This window comes from Homo sapiens, chromosome X (genome assembly GCF_000001405.40).
Source record: "Homo sapiens chromosome X, GRCh38.p14 Primary Assembly".
Lineage (NCBI taxonomy): Eukaryota > Metazoa > Chordata > Mammalia > Primates > Hominidae > Homo > Homo sapiens.
The window spans coordinates 29590175-29613000 of NC_000023.11; the positions used below are offsets into that span (position 1 = coordinate 29590175).

The window sequence follows — 22826 nt, forward strand, 5'->3', positions numbered from 1 at the left end:
TGAACCATTTGTGATAAATCCACTCCCATGAGCCAGTCACCTCCCACCAGGCCCACTTTCCAATACCAGTGATTATAATTCACCATGATATTTGGGTGGGGAGAAATATATAAGCTACATCAGAGCTTATACAAGAAACAGCATGAACTTGCTTGGGGCCAGTTTATTAAATCCAATGAAGCTCTATTAGATACAATAAAATTAGACACTTTAGAAATGTACAAAAGGCCTAAATTTGGGTAGTCTCATGCCTTCCCAAGGGCAGGTATTTTCCCTCTTCCTCCCTGCCTCTCCCGAGTGATTCCTTGCACACGTGGAAGGGAGATCTGGCAGGATGCTGAACTAGCCTGACGCTATGCTGGTCATGGCCTCCATGTTTCCTGTGAAACCCACAAGAATAGTTGAGCACAATTCTTAATAGGATGGCAGTGTCTCTTGCTGACCCGCCCATGCTCCTTGACTCTGCAGAGGGCTTGTAACAGGGGCTCATCCAAGGTCAACCTCAAAACTCCACCTCAGACATCAAATGGAGTCTGAAAGAGCCCAAGGAAGCCTGGCTCCTTATAGAAGTCACAGTGATCATTGGAGTTGATGACTGCATAAACTATAAGGTGACCACCTGACGACAGAGTAGCACTAACCTGACATCATTAACTCACCTACCACAGCTTCTCTGGCCTCGAAGGAATTTTTCTGCAGTACTGTGCTGTGAAGTATTCAGGAATTATGTTTTGTGCTGTAACGTGCCATAGCCATAAACCAAAATAAAGTTTTTAAAAATGAGATAGCTACTTAACTAACCTGTTAAGATTTAGGCTAATGATTAGTTCTCTGGCATTACACATCCTCGAGGCATGCACCGTAGGGTAAAGGACACCAGAATATGAGATATCAGTGGTCTGGACAAACAGATACTTTTACTTCAGAGCAGTGGGAGGGGAGATGGAAGTGTTAGTACCATCCTGTGATCACATAAAGGTGACTCTTCACCTGCAGTTGCTAGGGAGAGGCTTGTTTGTTACTCAAATGAACAGGAAATTAAGAGATGAGCTTAGTTAATGCTAGGAATGCTTCATGGCTCTCTATAAGTAAGCACAAACTTGTGGGGTAGGCATTGTGACAACGAGGTGCCTGTAAATATGAAGTTCAGTGCACATGATGTGGCAAAAAAGACTTCTGCGATTCAGACAAGCACTTCTTCCAAAGAGCTCTAAGCACAACCCTGACGCTGTTTCCTTCATTCTCAGGACACTTCTGTGAATTAGCCAAAGGTCAAACCCAGTCCTTCTGCTTAGACAGAGGTAGAGGGAGAGCAAGTCACCAGTCGGGAGGAGCAGAGGGGGCACCATAGTGGGGACTGCCTGGCTCGTCCCTCTGCCCTTGTCTTCTTCCTCTGCCGGGCACTCTCCTGTCTCTCCACAGGGCTGAGCAGGATGTGGTTCTCACAGCCAGTGGCCTAAGTGCCCAGCAGTCACCGGAGAACCAGGCCCACTGAACCTTGGGGGAAGCCCTCTGCTGTTAGGGAAGGAGACAGATGCAGCTGTTTATTAAGGGTGACCCTGTGCATCCACTGTGCGGAGCAGCAATTTGCAGGCCCAAGTGGACTCAATCTTTGGGAAAACACAGAGCTAGATGGATTCTTATTACTGCCATTTCACACAGGAAGAAACCTGCTCACAGGGAGTAAGTGAAGGTCCAGGATCACATGGCCAGAAAGTGGTGAACAGGGATCTCCAACCCAAATCCTCTGACCTGCTATTGAATCTGGCTGGGCAGCCTCTGGCCAGCTGTCTATGAAAGGCTGGCAGGCAGCAGAGTGTGGCCCTAGAGGATCTGATGAACGGGTGAAAACCTAAAATGGGGAAACTCACACAGGATGGGTTCATTTTCTACAATGCTTCAGGTGACACCATTTTTCTAAGTTTTAACTTAACAAAGAACATGAGAGTGTTAATAAGAATTGTATGTTCTTGGGTACATCACGTGGGACAGAATTTACATAGAATATATATATATATCTTTCAAAACATATATTCAGCCATTGATAACTCTGTTGCTTTATTAAATATTATGATTCTTAGATTAGTTGTATCATCTGTGAATGAGATTGATAATTGTGTTTGCAATAAGATATATTCATAAATTCCATTCATTAATAATAACCATTAAGAACTGCTTGAATTTCATGTCTTAGACCATATAGTAGCTTATATGTAATATTATCATTTAATTCACCAGTGTCCACAGAGAGGACAGAGCAACACATGTCACAGGAAGAATCACAACACTATTTGATAATCCCTGTCTTGGGTTCTTTTTTGGAATGAGGTGGGGTATATATAAATAAATAGTAAATGAAGTCAACATGACCATGCTTTTGTATATTTCTTTCTGGTTTACCTCGTTTCACCTCTCTTTTCATATGAAAGTTCTTGCTCCATTAAGTTCATATCAACTGCAATGCCACATTCTCTTTCCCATTGCCATCACCTTCTGACCTTTAGAAGTTCCCTATATGAATAATGCCTTCAGCACTTTTGTCATCGTTTTCAGCTTCACCCCAACTGCCAGCATGATTCTGAGATTTTATGGTGCCGAGAGGAGCCCCCCTCACCAATGTCCTGGCCTCACAGGCCTTGATTTCCTCAGAGCCAGTGAGGCAGTCCTCTCTCCCCTTCCTCCTCAGCCAGCTCCTTGCACCAGGCCCACAGTTTACACTGTCACTGTAAGAAATTGCTGGCCTTCTCTGAATCTCTGGTTTAACCATCCCATGCTGATGCCACCTTCTATCCCTCTTTCAAGGTCTCTGGAGGATAGTGTTCCTCCTGCAGAAGGTGATCCACGCTGCTTACAGGGAACTTCACTTCTGTTCTTGCAGAGTGGGAAACAAGTCAGTTTTGCATACCCGTTGGAGCTCCAACAGTTCTTTTCCCCAGCCATGGTGTTTGCTAGGTTTTGCTCAGATGGGCCCTGCTTGGTTGTCGTATTAGCCTGAGTGTCTAAGGACACCAGTGTTCATTCCTCCCTCCTCCTCCACTTTATCCCATTCTCCAGCCCCTCGTTAGTCAGGCTTCATGACTCCTAAACTTTGTGATGTCATTGGTGACACTGGGCTCTGATCAGATCTTGGCATATGGTTCCTACCAGGTTCGTGGTGGAAACCTGATTACCCTAATGGCCGAATCCACTTTTAGAAGGAAGCCTTGACTTTCTACATTGTAGGAAAGTAAATGAGGGTTTCAGTGGAAAACTTTGCCTTGTATAGAGTACATCACTCTAGGTTCTCTGACACTAACCTTGCATTTGTCTTTGAGCTCATTTCTATCATTTTGTAAGTTGTAGGTCACTGACAGACATGCTTAATATCTCGTACAGTGGAGGTTCAGTTGTATCTCCTTTCATGTTATAATAAAACCAGTTTTGCCTCCATTTACACGTTCATTTCAATATCCTTGATCAATATTCTAGTATGTATTCTTTATATTCTTTTTTGAACCAGCCACAATTTCTACTCATTTACTCATTAGTTAAATAGACTCTTTAAATACATGTTCATTTCATATCTGTATGAGTATCATGATTTTACTCTGTTTGAAAAATATTTTTAACTGTTTTGGAAGTCCCAGTGAGATGCCCAATGTATTCGCTTGCCAGATCCAGATTATCTTTAATGACAAGAAATTGCACCTCCTATGTGGTTAAAACCCAAATGTGTCTTTTCTTGGCCCTCTTTAGGTGAATCCAAAGCAATGAGAGAACATTGTTCACTCTCTATTTTTCTAGCTTTAATTTCCCTCTCTACTAATTTTGTGTTTCTCTTTGGTTTTGTTTCATTTACAGCCAATAAGTTATTCTCCTTTGTTGGCAGCAATCGTTGTGAACTTGATTTTAGGGTCTGACGATTTGGAGATCCCTCTAAGTAGATAAATGGTGTATAGAAATCTAATGACTGTTGAGTGAAAGAGAACAGAGAATCTGGCTTATCTTTCTTTTTGTCTGTCTTTTTTAAATCTCAAATCAGTGAAGAATTCCATGTCCTCTTACAGGAAAACAGCTCTTCTATCTAGACTGGGGAGTTTTTCTGTTTCTGTGTTGAATTTTGACCCATGTCTGAACAAGAATCGAAGCTATAAGTTGTACTTCTCTGTGCCTGTAGGGATACCTTCACCTTTGATTGTGTGAATGTATTGTGTTTCTTAGTTCCATGTGGTAATAATATATATTATAAAGTCTCTCAAATTAAAGGAGCCCTGTTCTGATTGGTATATCTGAATACTTGCTTATATAAATAAAAATTGCCTAAAATTCTCTGAAATAAATGAAATTGAACTAATACTTTAAATGTGCTAGAATACAATATATATATTCTTCATGAAACCATTCAGAACCATAATAAAAAATTTAACTACACATAATTTAAATAAATATTTGGCAAAAATGAATGGTTTACTTTAGAATTTATTAAAAACAGCTATATCTTTTTTGATGTCAGTGTTATTACAAAAGTGTGTTTTTTAATGAGTTGGGGATTTTTTATTTGTATTTATTTATTTACTTTTAATTTATTTTTTATTTCAATAGGTTTTTAAGGAACAAGTGGTGTTTGGTTACATGAATAAGTTCTTAGTGGTGATTTCTGAGATTTTGATGCACCCATCACCTGAGCAGTGTACGCTGTACCCAATGTGTAGTCTTTTATCCCTCACCAACCCCCACCCTTTCCTCCCAGTCCCTAAACTCCAATGTATCATTCTTATGCCTTTGTGTCCTTATAGCTTAGCTCCAACTTATGAGTGCAAACATGCGATGTTTGATTTTCCATTCCCAGGTTACTTCACTTAGAATAACAGTCTCCAGTTCCACCCAGGTTGCTGCAAATGTCATTATTTCATTGTTCTTTATGGCTGAGTAGTATTCCATCGTATATATACACCACATTTTTCTTTTCCACTCATTGATTGATGAACATTTACATTTGGGCTGATTCCATAATTTTGCAATTGCAAATTGTGCTGCTATAAACATGGTGTGCAAGTATCTTTTTTGTATAATGACTTCTTTTCCTCTGGGTAGATACCTAGTAGTGGGATTGCTGGATCAAATGGTAGATCTACTTTTAGTTCTTTAAGGAATGTCCACACAGTTTTCCATAGTGGTCGTACTAGTTTATATTCCCACCAGCAGTGTTACAGTGTTCCCTTTATACTACATCCATGCTAACATCTATTATTTTTTGATTTTTTTGATTATGGCCATTCTTACAGGAGTGAGATGGTATCACATTGTGGTTTTGATTTGCATTTCCCTGATAATTAGTGATGTTGAGCATTTTTCCGTATGCTTGTTGGCCATTTATATATCTTCTTTGGAGAGTTGTCTGTTTGTGTCCTTAGCCCACTTTTTGATGGGATTGTTTGTTTTTTCTTGCTAATTTGTTTGAGTTCTTTGTAGATTCTAGATATTAGTCCTTTGTTTCATGTAAGGTTGTGAAGATTTTCTCCCACTCTGTGGATTTTCTGTTAATTCTGATTATTTCTTTTGCTGTGCAGAAGCTTTTTACTTAAATTAAGTCCCATCTATTTATCTTTGTTTTTGTTGCATTTGCTTTTGGGTTCTTGGTCATGAAGTCTTTGCCTAAGCCAACATCTAGAAGGGTTTTTTTCAACGTTATCTTCTAGAATCTTTGGTTTTAGGTCTTAGATTTAAGTCTTTGATCCATCATGAGTTGATTTTTGTATAAGCTGAAAGATGAGGATCCAGTTTCATTCTTCTGTGTGTAGCTTGCCAATTATCCCAGCACCATTTGTTAAATAGGGTGTCCTTTCCCCAGTTTATAAAAGTTTTTGTTTGTTTTGTCAAAAATCTAAGTATTTGGGTGTGTTTCTGGGTTCTCTATTCTGTTCCATTGGTCTATGTGCCTATTTTTATACCAGTACCATGCTGTTTTGGTGACTATGGCCTTATAGTATAGTTTGAAATCGGGTAGTGTGATGCCTCCAGATTTGTTCTTTTTGCTTAGTCTTGCTTTGGCTATGCAGGTTCTTTTTTTGGTTCCATATGAATTTTAGGACGGCTTTTCTAGTTCTGTGAAGAATGGTGTTGGAATTTTGATGGAAATTGCATTGAATTTGTAGTTTGCTTTTGGCAGTATGGTCATTTTCACAATATTGATTCTACTCATCCATGAGCATAGTATGTGTTTCTATTTGTTTGTATCATCTATGATTTCTTTCAGCAGCGTTTTGTATTTCATTTTTAGAGGTCTTTCTTGTCCTCGGTTAGGTATATTCCTAAGTATTTGATTATTTTTTGCAGCTTTTGTGAAAGTGGTTGGGATCTTGATTTGATTCTCAGCTTGGTCACTGTCGGTGTATATAGCAGAGCTACTGATTTGTGTACATTAATTTGTATCCTGCAACTTTGCTGAATTCATTTACCAATTCTAGGAGCTTTTTGGATGAGTCTTTAGGATTTTCTAAGTATACAATCCTATCATCAGCAAGCAGTGACAGTTTGACTTCTGTTTACTGATTGGGATGCCCTTTATTTCTTTCTCTTGTCTGATTGCGCTGGCTGGGACTTCCAGTATTATGTTGAATAGAAGTGGTGAGAGTGGGTATCCTTATCGTGTTCCAGCTCTTGTGCAGAATGCTTTCAACTTTTCCCTGCTCAGTATTATGTTGGCTGTAGCTTTGCTATAGATTGCTTTTATTACCTTAAAGTATGTTCTTTCTATGCTGATTTTGCTGAGAGTTTTAATAATAAAGGGATGATGGATTTTGTTAAATGCTTTTTCTGCCTCTATTGAGATGATCATGTGATTTTTGTTTTTAATTCTGTTTATGTGTTATATCACATTTATTGAGTTGTGGATGTTAAACCATTCCTGCATTCTTGGTATGAAACCCACTTGATAATGGTGGCTTATCTTTTTGATATGCTGTTAGAATTGGTTAGCTACTATTTTGTTGAGGATTTTTTTTTTTTTTTTTTTTTGAGACTGAGTTTTGCTCTTGTTGCCCAGGCTGGAGTGCAATGGCGCGATATCGGCTCACTGCAACCTCTGCCTCCCAGGTTCAATCGATTCTCCTGCCTCAGCCTCCCGAGTAGCTGGGATTACAGGCATGTGCCACCACACCTGGCTAATTTTGTATTTTTAGTAGAGACGGGGTTTCTCCATGTTGGTCAGGGTGGTCTCAAACTCCCAGCCTCAGGTGATCCACCCGCCTCGGCCTCTCAAAGTGCTGGGATTACAGGCATGAGCCACCACGCCCGGCCTTGTTGAGGATTTTTGCATCTATGTTTATCACGGATACTGGCTTGTAGTTTTCTTTTTTTGTTATGTCCTTCTCTGGTTTTGGTATTAGGGTGATACTGACTTCATAGAATGATTTAGGGAGGATTCCCTCTTTCTCTGTCCTGTGGAATAGTGTCGATAGGATTGGTATTCATTCTTCTTTGATATAATTCAGCTGTGAGTCCATCTGGTCCTGGACTTTCATTGTTTGCAGTTCTTAAGTTACATTTCAATCTCACTGCTTGTTATTGATCTGTTTGGAGTTTCTTTATCTTTCTGGTTTAATCTAGGAGGGTTTCAAAGAATTTATCCGTCTCATCTAGATTTTCTAGTTTATGCACGTAAAGGTGTTCATAGTAGCCTTGAATAATCTTCTGTATTTCTGTGGTATCAGTAGTAATACCTCATGTTTTGTTTCTAATTGAGCTTATTTGCATCTTCCTTCTTCTTTTCGTGGTTAGTTTTGTTAATGGTCTGTCAGCTTTATTTATCTTTTCAAAGAACCAGATTTTTGTTTCATTTATCTTTTGTAATTTTTTGTTTCTGTTTCATTTATTTCTGCTCTGATCTTTATTGTTTCTTTTCTTCTGCTGGGTTTGGGTTTGGATTGTTCTTGCTTCTCCAGTTCCTTGAGGTGTGACCTTAGATTGTCTGTTTGTGCTCTCGCAAACCTTTTGAGGCAGGCATTTAATATTATGAACTTTCCTGTTAGCACCGCTTTTGCTGTAGCCCAGAGGTTTTGATAGGTTGTGTCACTATTACCGTTCAGTTCAAATAATTTTAAAATTTTCATCTTGATTTCGTTGTTAACCCAATGACCATTCAGAAGCAGCTTATTTAACTTCCATGTATTTGCATGGTTTTGAGGGATCCTTTTGGAGTCGATTTCCAATTTTATTCCACTGTAGTCTGAGAGAGTACTTTATATAATTTTGGTTTTCTTAAATTTACTGAGACTTGTTTTGTGGCCTATTATGTGGTCTATCTTGGAGAATGTTCCATGTGCTGATGAATAGAAAGTATATTCTGCAGTTGCTGGGTAGAATGTTCTGTAAATATCTTTTAAGTCCATTTGTTCTAGGTTATAGTTTAAGTCCATTTTTTATTTGGTGACTTTCTGTCTTGGTGATCTGTCCAGCGCTGTCAGTGGATTATTAAAGTCACCCACTATTATGGTGTTGTCATGTATCTCATTTCTTAGGTCTACTAGTAATCGTTTTATAAACTTGGGAGCTCCAGTCTTAGGTGCATATATATTTAAGATTATGATGTTTTCCTGTTGGACTAGTACTTTTAGCATTATATAATGTCCCTCTTTGTGTTTTTTAACTGTTGTTGCTTCAAAGTTTGTTTTGTCTGATATAAGAATAGCTACCCGTACTCCTCACTTTTGCTGTCCATTTGCATGGAATATCTTTTTCCTCCCCTTTACCTTAAGATTATGTGAATCCTTATGTGTCAGGTGAATCTCCTAAAGACAGCAAAAACTTGGTTGGTGAATTGTTTTCCATTCTGCTCTTATGTATCTTTTAAAGTGGAGTTTTGAGGTCATTTACATTCAAAGTTAGTATTGAGGTGTGAAGTACTATTCTATTCATTGTGCTGTTTGCTGTTTGAATAGCTTGTGTTTTCTTTTCATTGTGTTATTGTTATATCGGTCATGTGAGATTTCTGTTTTGGTGTATTTGGAGGATTTGTTTCAAGATTCAGAGCTCCTTTTAGCAGTTCTTGTAGTGCTGGCTTTGTAGTGGCAAATTCCTTCAGCATTTGTTTGTCTGGAAAACACTATCTTTCCTTCATTTATAAAGCTTAGTTTCACTGGATACAAAATTCTTGGCTGATAATTGTTTTATTTAAGGAGGCTAAAAATCGGACCCCAATACTTGTAGCTTGTAGGGTTTCTGCTAAGAAATCTGCTGTTAATCTAATAGGTTTTCCTTTATAGGTTACCTGATGCTTTTGCCTCACAGCTCGTAAGATTCTTTCCTTTGCCTGACTTTAGATAACCTCACGATTGTGTGCCTAGGTGATGATCTTTTGCAGTGAATTTCCTGGGTGTTCTTTGAGCTTCTTGTATTTGGATGTCTAAATCTCTAATAAGGCTGGGGAAGTTTTCATTGATTATTTCCTCAAATATGTTTTCCAAACTTTTAGATTTCTCTTTTTCCTCAAGAACACCAATTATTCTTATGTTTGGACATTTAACATAGTCCCAAACTTTTCAGAGGCTTTGTTCTCTTTTTTGAAATTCTTTTTTCTTTGTCTTTGATGGATTGGGTTAATTCAAAAGCCCTGTCTTCAAGCTCTGAAGTTCTTTCTTCTGCTTATTCATTTCTATTGGTGAGACTTTCCAGTGCATTTTGCATTTCTCTGTGTGCCCTTGATTTCCAGAAGTTGTGATTGTTTTTTATTTATGTTATATATTTTGCTGATGATTTTTCCTTTTATATCCTGTATGATGTTTTTTATTTCAGTTAGACTTCACCTTTCTCTGGTGCATCCTTGATTAACTTAACAATCGACCTGAATTCTTTGAATTCTTTTACTGGTAATTTGGAGATTTCATCTTGGTTTGCCTCCATTGCTGGTCATCTGGTGTGATCTTTTTGGGGTATTAAAGAACCTTGTTTTGTCATATTATCAGAATTGTTTTTCTGGTTCCTTCTCATTTGGGTAGACTGTGTCAGAGGGAAGATCTGGGACTCAAGAGCTGCTGTTCAGATTCTTTTGTCCCGCAGGGTGCTCCCTTGATGTGGTGTTCTCCCCCTTCCCCTAGGAATAAAGCTTCCTGAGAGCCAAACTGCAGTGATTGTCTTTGCTCTTCTGGGTCTAGCCACCCAATGGAGCTACTGGGCTCTGGGCTGGTACTGGGGAGTGTCTGCAAAGAGTCCTGTGATGTGATCTGTCTTCAGGTTTTTCAGCCATGGATACCAGCCCTTCTCTGGTGGAGGTATCAGGGGAGTGAAGTGGACTCTGTTAGGGTCCTTGGTTGTATTTTTGTTTAGTGCACTGGTTTTGTGTTGGTTGGCCTCCAGCCAGGAGCTGGTGCTTTCAAGAGTGCATCAGCTGTGGTAATATAAGGAGGATGCAAACTTGCCCTGGAGACACGTGGTTAAGTATTCAGGTTTTTCAGGCGGTGGGCAGGGCCATAGACCTCCCAAGAGATTATGACCTTTGTCTTAGGCTACCAGGGCAGTAGAGAAAGACCACCAGGTGGGGGGCAGGGATAGGAGTGTCTGAGCTCAGACTCTCTTTGGGTGGGGCTTGCTGAAGCTGCTGTGGGGGATAGCGGTGTGGTTCCCTGACCAATGGAGTTAAGTTCCCATGGGATTATGGCTGCCTCTGCTGAGTCCTACAGGTTGCCAGAGAAGTCAGGAAAAGCAGACAGTCACAGATCTCACCCCGCTCCCACACAGCTACCAGTCCTAAAGGCTGGTCTCAATCCCACCATGCCCCTCCAACAGCACTGAGCCTATTTCCAGGCAGCTGGTGCCCAGGGCTGAGAATTTGCCCCAGACCATGAGCCTCCCTACTGAAAAAGCAAGCAGACTCACAGTTTTTCTGGTGTCTCTGGGAGCCTGCAGCAGTGATCGGGTTCCTTCAAAGGGTCTGTGGATTCTCTCCACAAAGGTGTAATTTTTTAACTTGGGTATGTTTTTCCTGAAAGTAAATAGATTTACTAATCACCTAAACTAGCATACTTCTAGTTATTATTTAAAATTATGAGGAATATAAATTCATGTTTGACTAAATTGAACCATTGTGATGACAGTCTTTTATTTCCAGTTATAACATTTAGTAGTACGTCAACTTAAAGAAATTTTCCAAGTTGTTTAGATAATCCTTAGATTGATATTGTATTAGTTGATGAACATTAACTGGATGCCTAGATCATTCCTATGTAAGATAAAATACTGAAATATTAATTATTAAGCATAAATTGAAATTTGTATACTTTGGCTTTTTAGTAGTAAATCCCACAGAGAGGCTGTATTTTAAGGTCTATCAGTGAACATGTTCCTTTCTGCCATGTTGAGAATTCTATAGGGAAATTGTGCTGCTGTAGAAACCTGGGCTGTATGGGTTCCCCAAAATTACAGAATGTTCACAATTACCCACCCTTTAGTTTTCTTTATAAAACAGATGTGACTTTGTATAAAAGTCATAATTAATAATATCTGAATGAGACTCTGCTAGGAGTCTTAAAAAAATGAGACATGCTTTGATTAAAGTAAAAGAATATAGAATGCTTCTGTCTATAAGTGAAATGACTTTTGTTCCAGAATAAGAAAGAGGATGGTGAAGGGCAACACAACATATAGAGATCTGTTTGAGGTTCACAGAAAGTGAATCTGAAAGGGACCACAAATTTGTGTTAAAATTTTGCAAAACCTGGTTCGGTTTTGATGGGTGTATTCATAAGATTTCCAAATGCAAACCTAGAATTTGGTTTCTTTTCAAATATAGTCACAGTTTCTTTGGAGTATTCATTTGTTTGTTTTTTTGTTTGTTTGTTTTTTGTTTTTTTTGAGACGGAGTCTCACTCTTGTTGCCCAGTCTGGAGTGCAGTGGTGCGATCTTGGCTCACTGCAACCTCTGCCTCCCAGGTTCAAGCGATTCTCCTGCCTCAGCCTCCCAAGTAGCTGGGATTACAGGCATGCACCACCACACCCTGCTAATTTTGTATTTTTAGTATAGACGGGGTTTCACCATGTTGATCAGGCTGATCTCAAACTCCTGACCTCATGTGATCCACCTGCCTCGGCCTTCCAAAGTGCTGGGATTACAGGTGCAATCCATTGCGCGTGGCCTATTCTTAATAAGAGGTTGTAAAAGTTTGCTCTTCACATTAGAGGCCAATTTGCCCAAATAGCAGAGATGCTATATCTCACTAGAATGACGTTCCACACTGTGTTTTTGACTTTGTCATGCTCTTGATTATTCTCTTAAAAATACAAAAAAATACAAAAATAAAAATAAAAACCCACAAATACTCTCATTACTGAAAGTGTTGAGTTTTTGTTTATGTAAATATTGTATTGTCACTTTGATTAATAGGCAGCCAAGCCACAGCCATTCGTACACTAAGACACCCATGATCCCAATCTTAAGTGTTCAAATCTCCTGGCAAATTTTAATTTTGCCTTTCTCAAATCAAATCCTTAATGGAAAAGGAAATAAAAAATATAAAACCTTCACAGTGTCTTTGGCACATTAAGGTTTCTTTAATATTTCCCAGGCTATCTTAAAGACTTTCCCCTGGAAATTCACAAAGATTTCTTTTATGCCTGATGGAAGGAGAAGTAATAGAAGTAAATATGTTCATTTGTTATGTTACTATTGATGAGTTTCATAATTGTCCAATTAAAAGTAGATGCTACTTAATATCTAGGACTACCCTGAATTTGCATATATCATATAATCATCATTTGTGAATGAATGAGAAAGATTATGATTTTTGATAATTTATTTCAGTGGTTATAATCAAATTTTCAGATAAAATAGTGAACAAGGCCAGGTGTGGTGGTGGGCGCCTGTAATCCCAGCACTTTGGGAGGCCGAGGCGGGTGGATCACCCGAGGTCAGGAGTTCGAGACCAGTCTGGCCAAGCTGGTGAAACCCTGTCGCTATTAAAAATACAAAAATTAGCTGGGTGTGGTGATGGGCGCCTGTAATCCCAGCTACTCAGGAGTCTGAGGCAGGAGAATCACTTGAACCTGGGAGGCAGAGGTTGCAGTGATCCAAGACTGCGCCATTGCCCTCCAGCCTGGGTGACAAAGTGAGACTCTATCTCAAAAAAAAAAAAAAAAAACTGAACTAAATGTTTAATAATATTTATGAAATGTAGCCTATGTCACTAGTATGACTTTTTAAAATTATTTAAAGAGATTTTATTTTGTCCAGAATCTTGGCAGTCAGGAATCCCAAATAAATGCTGCAACTGATAAGTGCATCATTGTTAGCTGATCTTAGGAAACCATCACAGGCATTTCAACTGTGTTTTCCAACATACGGATTTGTTTGTTGAAATGTAGCTAGTCAATTTTCATTTTTCCACAAGTCAACCAGCTGATCTCGCAGCCCAATCAGTTTTTTTATTTTTATCTTTCCACCACCCCCCACCACCTCCACTGCTGGAATACATTTGTAGAGAAGTTTTCAAAAGTTTAGAGTTTAAGAATTCTGTTTCTAGATTGTTAATTGTGCATATGTGAGAATTATGGGAGATGACACTGATCCTGTTTGGTGACCACATCACATAATAATGGAAATGTTTCCAAACATACCATTTTCAAAATATTTTCTCCATAATAAAGTTTATTTTTTAAAGCTATATTTTCATTGTTAAAGTGAAACCTCCATTTTGAGTAAATAGAGTATATGTCATTTATTTATTGATTTAATATATTCTAGGAAGTAAATCACTGACGAAAAGGTGGCAACTTTTGAATTACTCCTCATTTTTATGAAAAGAAAACATACATAACTTCTGTTAAATTTGACAACTCTTTGAAGTACTCTACAGTGAGTGAAATAACCAGTAAGCCTCCATATGGCCTGAGGGATTTCCATAGTCACTCTTCATTTAATTGCAGAGTATTGTACAGATTTTACAGATTTTTAAGGTAATGAAATCCATAAATTCCTTTACATGGACAATATATCAAAATATGTTAAAGATGTACAAATGATTGAGGCCACATCAACCTCTTTCCCCTTTCAAACTTCTACTTTCTCCTCTGAATAGCTGCTATGATGTGAATGTCTTATAAGTGTCTGATGTAAACTGGGTGAGGATCAGGATCAATCTATATATGAAATATTAGCAAAACTTTGAAAACTTTTTGATAAAATGGATAGAGGAAAACCAAAAGCTCTTAATATTTTCTTCTAGTATTCCAATGGATTTGACTTGTGTGCCTCATTTTTGGAAGTCAGTGGAATAAATTGTTACTTTACTTTTATTTTATTTATTTATTTTTTTGAGAGGTAGTCTCACTCTGTCACTTATGCTGGAGTGCAGTGATGCGATCTCCGCTCACTGTAGTCTCTGCCTTCCTGGTTCAAGCGATTTGCCTGCCACAGCCTTCCGAGTAGCTGGGATTACAGACGTGAGCCACCGTACCCGGCCCCAAATTATTACTTTTAGATGATCACTTTTCACTTCCTGTTAGTGGCATATTAGTAAGAGTTTCTGATACCATAGGAATGTACAACATACAAGTCATTTTTGAATATTCCAGTGACATAAACTCTTCAGACCATGAACCCAAACTGAGAATGGAATAGAAAGTGCTTTTTTAACCCTAAAGTAAGAAGACTTCCTACAGAAGGTGCTGTTGGTTGCCTATCATATTTCCCAGCTTTGCCTTTCCTAATACAACCCGTATTTTTTTCAGGATCCACCCTCCTCCCATAACCCATGTGCTTTCAGGGTGGGCTGACCCTTCTCCACACCCAGGCCAACATGGTGTAAACCAACTCATCCCCAACGTCAGTGATTCATTTTGGAATGGATACGTATTACAGTTTGGCTAATGAAATCAGAGGCATAGACTTTTTGGGAGATGCTTCTGTGCTAAAATTTCCTAAGTCTTAAACACACACACACACACACACACACACACACACACACACACACACACACACACACACGGAGGGAGGGAGGGAGGGAAGGAGGGAGAGAGAGAGACAGAGAGAAAGAGAAAGGTCTCTTTTCCTCTTTTGTATATTATCAAAGGACATGATGCCTGGAGATGCAGGTGAATAAGGCTGAAGATCACAGAATGGAAGGAAGCCATCATGTCTTTAGACTTACAGTTATGTGTATTAATAACTTCCCCTTATTTGTTTAAGTAGCTGAATTGAGGTTTTCTGTTTGGTGTAATTTATAACCCACTAACACATCATAACTTACCAATACATGGACTATATACTGTTATATGGTAAGGCTTCACTCATTGTTATTGAGTATTATTCACCTACATTTTTTTTTAATGTGCTTGTTTGGTTTTCCTACACATAGCACCTTCAAAGCGGGAATCCTTAAGATTAATGCCAGGATATCAGATATTAGAGGATGTTAGAGGCAAACAAATGACTGTGGGGGATATGAAAGCTGACAGGCTACTTTTGAAGGAAGAAGATGCTAAAAAGAAAAAGAGCTGGGAGACACAGACTTATACTGTAATACACAAAATGGATACTCGTTATTATGGCTTTGAGACATCAAGGGAAAAGTTGAATTATCCTTTTTATATAAAGACTGAGAAGTGTATATTTTACAAAGACTTTCATCAAAAAATTCTAAAATGTATTAAATGTGTAATGTTTTTTGAAGAGGGAAGTTATGCAGAACATTGTTAGGCAGGCAGGATATTCTTTATTTCTCCCAACACCTAGTACAGAGAAAGGGATGAAGGACATACTTAAAATTTGTTAAAGGAGTAAAGAGATGGATTTCGAAGACAAATGATATATAACAGAAACATTTCCAAAAACACTGTTTTCGAAGTGTTTTCTCCGTAGTAAGAAACCTAGCTCTATAACCTAAATCTATTTTGCAGTTTCATAACCCATCTAACATCTGAATGATTACTTCTAAATATTTTTCTCTACTTAATTTTCTATGATGTCTGTTCCCCAATTTATCTTCTTTGGATGTTTAAGAAAAAATATTACAAAGAAGTTTTGAAGGTTTTCCTTTTTAAGTTATGCATAGAAATGTACCTGCCAAATTTCGAATTTCTTGTCAAATTTCATTCATGTAGCAAGATGAGATTTCAGGGTCACAGTGAAAGTCTATGAATGAAAAAAAATGTTAAATATTCATATTAGTGATGCATGGGGTAGGAAGTAGTGGGGAGCGGTCCTCCTAATAGGCAGACAATAAAGGGGGAACGTGTTTGTAGAATAATTTAGAAACAATAAGGAAACTAACAGGTGATCTACTTTTTATCACCGTACACCAGCAATTCTAAACAATGTCTGTGATGAAGTATTTTCCCCCCAAAATATTCTACTGGTCTATATTCTAAACAACTGATGTGGCTACTGTTTGTTTTAATCATCTTTATGTGAACTTCAAATTCGCACATTATTGGTCATCCATGAATAAACATTTAACTCTACATAGCAGTTAACTTGAAGACCTCCCAATTGCACATACAGTCTCTACCACACAGACTCAACTACATGCATTTATTTTCAGAGTAAATTCATAATAGTTTGGAATTGCCTGAGCTACCTTTGGGAGAAGTTACTGTATTCCAACCAGTGGTACTAGATTTTTTTTTTTCTTTAAACAGGAGAATTCATGTAATGAATGATGGCACAGTAACTTTAAAGATAAAGACATAAAACATGACTTGCTTAAATTTTGACATTGTATGACACCCCTTTAGAATTTTTGTGTTCAGAAAGTTAAACAGTGAAGCAGGATGTGACCTATAAGGGGTAGTATTTTTGTTTGTAAGGAGTACATTTTTAATGAATGAAATATGTTACTATATTGGAAAAAGACATTTACAGTGAAAATTATTTTATTGTTTTGAAACTAAGGAAGAAATTCAGAAAATAATGACTATCACTGAGTTTTGCATGATTTTTAGTGACACTAATTTTATCATGTAGAGGAAGAGGGTGTTAAAATATGATTCACTTTCGTAGTCGGGTACCCTATTACTTCTCTAGGTCATCCCTCCTATGTAACATGCACACTGTTAAGGCATGAATTAATTATTTTGGAAGTCAACTTACCAAATAAACCAGTGCTACCATTTTCTAGTCTCCATGGATCAGTTTGAGAGCCATGAAAAGGATTAAAATGATCCTTACAATATACAGATAGTCTTCTAGTAAGTCATGACACACTGTAATTAAGTTGTAACTGTTAGTCTCTCTGCTTGTTCCTTTCCTATCTTGAAATGAATATGTTCAAGATCAAATATGAACAAGCATTTACTCAGTGGAAGATGAAATGGGTATGATATGAATAGATTAATGACATCACATGTGCCTTCTTTGAAGAAATTAATTATCCAAATGATGTTAGTGACGTGAAGCCTCCTGGGGGCACTTCTCATTCTACTTTCAGTAATGAGCTGTATCCTGTCAACTTACTCAGCAAAATTCACAGGAATGCATGTTTCTCTTTCATGGGACACTTCTCTGGGACTTAATGATTCCACACTCTTTCTCTTTTTCTACTACCTTTCTGGATTTTCTTCTCTGTCTCCTTTGCTGGCTGATATTTGTTTTACTAGCCTTTCCACATGAGAGTTTTTTAATACTATGTCCTAGACTTCTTCCTCATCTCATGTTATATTCTTATCAAAGATAATCTCATGTATGCTCTTGACTTCAACCAGCATGTATGAGTGGATAGCGTCAAAATTTCTATCTCCAGTCTCTCCATAAACTCCTTGTAGTCACTAACAGTTGGAGATTGCCACCTGACTGTCTCAGGGACACTTCAAACTCAACCTTTATGTTTCAATTATCTATTGTCGTGTGAATATTATAGCTAAAACAATGAAGATTTATTATATTTTAAAATTCTCTGCACTGACTGGGTGGTTTTTAATGCTCCACTTGGTGTGGGCTGTAGAGTTACTCGTGCATCAGATGGAGGCTGGACTAGTTGGAACCTCTAAGATGTCCCCTCTTTCCACATGATGTCTCTTCCATCAGGGCCTCTTCATATGGCCTCTTTCTTTAACAAGTTAGCCTGGACTTTTTAATAGCATTACAGCTGGATGTCAAGATTGCAAAAGTAGAAGCTTCCAGGCCTCTTAAGGCCTTGTCCCAGAAGTGGCACAGATCAGGGAAGCCCATTGCTTTAGCCAAGTGCATGTACCTATGAAAATCTTAAGTTTTAGAGATAAAGTAGGTATTACCATCATAGAAGGGGTTTCAAAAAAAAAAAGGAAGGAAGGAAGGATGGGAGAAAGAAAGGAAGAGGAAAGGGAGAAAGAAAGGAAGAGGAAAGGAAGAAAGAAAGGAGGAAAAGTAGGAAAGATGGAAAAAGAAAAGAAAATAATCTCAAATCAGCTTCTTAAAATAAGAGGAGGAGGCCGGGCGCGGTGGCTTATGCCTGTAATCCCAGCATTTTGGGAGGCCAAGGTGGGCGGATCACGAGGTCAGGAGATCGAGACCATCCTGGCTAACACGGTGAAACCCCGTCTCTACTAAAAATACAAAAAATTAGCCGGGCGTGGTGGCGGGCGCCTGTAGTCTCAGCTACTCGGGAGGCTGAGGCAGGAGAATGGTGTGAACCTGGGAGGCGGAGCTTGCAGTGAGCCGAGATCTCACCACTGCACTCCAGCCTGGGCGACAGAGCGAGACTCCGTCTCAAAAAAATAAAATAAAATAAAATAAGAGGAGGAACAAATATTCAGCAATCAGCGTCATTGACACTGACACTTGATCAGTGTCTGAAGTGAGAGCAGCTGTTAGGAAATCCTACTTCTATCTATCAAGAAGGGTTTATTTAAGAAAATAGATGACATACACGCTATAATTATCAATATAGTTTCTTCCATGGGCTACCAAGTCCAAAGTATTATTGCTTTTGCATAATTTATGCTGATAACCTTGGAATCATGGTTTGGATGGTTTAAACCTCTCTCTCCATACCAATTGAATCATTCATCAAATCATATGGAATCTCCCTATGTGTAACCTCCCGTCAAGTCCTCCATTTTAATTTCTGTCACCACTACTCTGCTGTATTTTCCTTTCGCCTCAAATTTGAGGTATTATAAAAATCTTATAATGGCCTATCCCGGATCTAAGCTATCTTACACATTAATTACACAGATTCCCCATTGCTTATGTAATACAGGCCAAACATCTTAGCCTGGCATTGAGTGTTCTCTATAAATCGTTGCTTTAACTTTATTTCTAGCTCCCTTATACACAAACTTCCCTATAAGGCCAACTGGATGAGTTTCCTGTATTTAATTGGTCAAGCTCTTCTCCACCTGAATTGTTCTTCCCTCATACTAATTTTCCCAAATCCTGCCTTCTTTGTGTGTCTTGGCTCAAGTACCATCACATATCTTTCTGGACCACCCTAGCCTTCAATGATCATCAGTCATCTATGTTCCTCTTAAAATCAGAGCCAATTGGCTTTTAGTGTAAACCAGTTTACTGTTTCTTAAGGTTTCACGAGTCTTAAATTAGGTAACAAAGTCTTCTGGAATGCATCAATATAATTAGTCAAAAATAAATGTTCAATGTATTTGTTTTCTTTACTTTTGAGGAAAAAAGAAATTAACAGTCTCGGATTATGTATCTCCTTTATACAAAGCTGCTGTCTGCCACCAAACTTATTGGGAATGAAATGAACAGCATAAGAATCTGCTTTTAGAACCAGAGACAGGGCAGATCTAGGGATCCAGGTGTCAAGAACCTCCCAGTATTTTCAGGTATTGACCATCAGGATGAATTAAATCTTACCATTTTTTTTTATTTTTCTGATACATTTTGTTCATAAATTAATTTGAAGAGAGAGTGATTGGCAGAGCTTCAACCACACACACTTTCTACTTGAAGTATGAGGGGGAGTGGGTCTGATGAAAACTTGAATGACTTCCTATCAAGACTAGTGAGAGAGAGGTAATTCTCCAAAACAGACTAGTGAAGCAGTTATCAGAAAAGAAGGAAGCAAATGTTAGGCAAGCATGTAATTCTTTCTTTATATTAAATCATATGACTTACCTGTGTTTAATATATTCAGAGCCTGACAATGAGAGAGAATAACTTAGAAAGCAAGGGAGATTAGTTCCAGTAGAAAGACTAATATTTATTTTGTTGAGATGGTAGGAAGTGGGAGTAGAGGAACAATTCAAAAGCTGTTCTTGACTCGCTTTTAAACTCTTCATGGTGGCCAGAATTGCTTTCAAAAATACTATATTTCCCGTAGACAGCATATTAATTTGCATTTCAAGCATTTTGATAACTGTTAAATTATTTTTGTCTTGAATACACTATTTTATAGTGTTTTATAATGCTAGTTGAGCTCTCTGGAATTTCTAAGAAAAGTTCCAGAAATTAAATCTCCTGGGTAATGTGTGAATAACAGAAAAGGATCCAATGTATTCTCACCAAAAGATAACTGTCCCTAATGTTAAAAAGCAGGGGAAGATGTCATCATTTTATTGTTAACCTGACGGTGAAACTGGAGAATTCCCTGAACTCCTTGCAGGTCTTGTGACAGGGGTGTGACTCGTTTGTTAGTTTGCGCAATTGCTGCTGCACAAACCCCTTACGGGATGGGGAGCACACAGATGGGCAGGTGCAGGAGCCGGGGCAAGCACTTTTGGGCTCCTGCCCCACAGTGGCGTCTAGGGTTGTGTTACAATTAATGCTCTTTTAGCAGTTGCCATCTGCACATGGCTAAGTGTTGAGGACTAAGCTCTGATTTTTTATCTTGCCCAAATTCCTACCTAAGGGGCCTAGGGAGTCATGCCCTACAAACCATGAATTCTCATCAGATGGGTTTTATTTGACCCTATATATTGTGACTTACTTTTCTATCTGACTCTGGCATAACATTATAAGACAAGGAAAAAATATTTAACCCCAAAATATATTTCCTTGCCATACCTTGAAATTGCCCTGCAAAGTCTCTTGTGGGAAAAATCCACATTCTATAGAGAATCCCTTTCCCCCTTTGTTTTCCTTCCTTTCCTTCCTGATCCAGGAGATAATCAACTAAGAGCCAGGTACCCTTTTAGGTCCAATAAGAAACATTTTACAACCTGCTCTCTCCCTCTGAAGTCTTCTGTCTGAGAGCTTCCTCTGCACAGTAAAACTTGGTTTCCACAGTCTTATACTAACCTGAACATTCCTTTCCATTAATCCCAGGTCTTAGGTAAACTCAACCAATTGTCATTTAAACATTTAAACCAGAAAATGTTTAAATTTACCTGTAGCCTGGAAGCCCCTGCTTTGAGTTGTGCCACCTTTCTGTACCAAACCAATGTATTTCTTAAATATATTTGATTGATGTCTCATGCCTTCCTAAAATATATAAAGCCAAGCTGTACCCTGACCACCTTGGGCACATGTTCTCAGGACTTCCTGAGGGCTGTGTCATGCGCCATGGTCACTCTTATTTGGCTCAGAATAAATCTCTAAAAATATTTTAGAGTTTTACTCTTTTCTCAACAGTGTTAAACTGGCTCAGTGGAGAGTCATAGTGACAGCCTTTTGCACCCTGCCCTCTTGGTACCTGGGTCCTTGTCTGGTGTCCAGGAAGAATCAGGTCAGACATGGACTTGAAGGATGTTGAATGCAGGGATTTTATTGAGTGATGGAGGTGGCTCTCAGTGGGATGGATGGGGAGCTCGAAAGGGTATGGACTGGGAAGATGATCATCCCCTGGAGTTCAGCTGTCCTTGCCTGATCTCCTCTTGGACCGTCCCCGGCCTAACTCCTATTGACATTCAGACACTCCTTCTCTTTTCTTCTCTGCTATACCACTCTGCTGCTCTCCTGCTCTTCTGCTCATCTGTCCATGGAGCCTAGGGTTTGGGGTTTATATGTGTACAGGATAGGGGGGCATAGTAGGACAAAAGGTAACATTTGGATGCAAAAACAGGAATGCCTGTTCCCATTTAGGGCTGCAGGTTTCCAGGCTTGACATGAGGCCTTTGCTAAAGAACCACCCTCTTCTACCCAGTATTTCCCTGCCTCCTGTCCGTATCAATTCTATTTAATTTTGTAATAGAGCAATGGGTAATATTTTTGAGTCAATGGACCCTTTAGTAATATTTTTTAAGTCAATGGACCCTTTAGAGTTACCGATGACAGCCCCAGTATTCTCTCCCCAAAACATACATTTGCAAAATGACACACAATTTTGCATACAAGTTCAGAGGATCTACATGTTTCTGAAGCCCATCTATGGATGCCAGATTTAAACTCATTTTATTAAAAAAAAAAAAGGATATTAGAACTACAATGAAAGAGCACAGGAGAAAGGATAACTGTCTTTCATGGGAATGTGCACTTTTCAATTTTGCTGTATTTTCCTAAATTATCTCTCAGCTAATACCTGACTTCATCCTTTGTTATATGGCAGCAAATCTCACTAAAATGGAACTAGTACAAGGATCCTAGACTTTATCACTCCTCCTCCCACCCATCTCCCTTCTGTAGTATGTGTTAAATAAGAAAGTTTTTAGTGTGTTTCTGAGACTTGTTCCTGATTTGATTTCACACTTCAACAGTAGTGATCCTTAATTATTACTTAGGAATTACTTTATGATTTGGTAATATTTAAGGACTTAAGCTACAGGTTACTTTTTTAATCCTTAGGTGACATGCTACCTAACACTTTCTCTCTGCTTATTTTATAATTCTAATTTGAGTTATTAGCTCTTAATTACTCAATAATTATTCACTGAACCCTCTGTATGTGCCAGAAACTGTCCTAGGTACTGAGAATAAACAAATGAGTAAACACATAAGTTTCCTGCCCTCTGGGAATGCACATTCTTAATTTACTAACTGTTAAATT

At 38.5% G+C, this 22826-nt stretch overlaps 1 protein-coding gene across 3 annotated transcripts in view; it reads left to right on the forward strand.

Annotated features, from left to right (window-relative positions):
* The window catches only part of IL1RAPL1 (interleukin 1 receptor accessory protein like 1), a 1369273-nt gene that overhangs the window by 1002729 nt on the left and 343718 nt on the right, over positions 1–22826 (forward strand). The window lies entirely within an intron of this gene.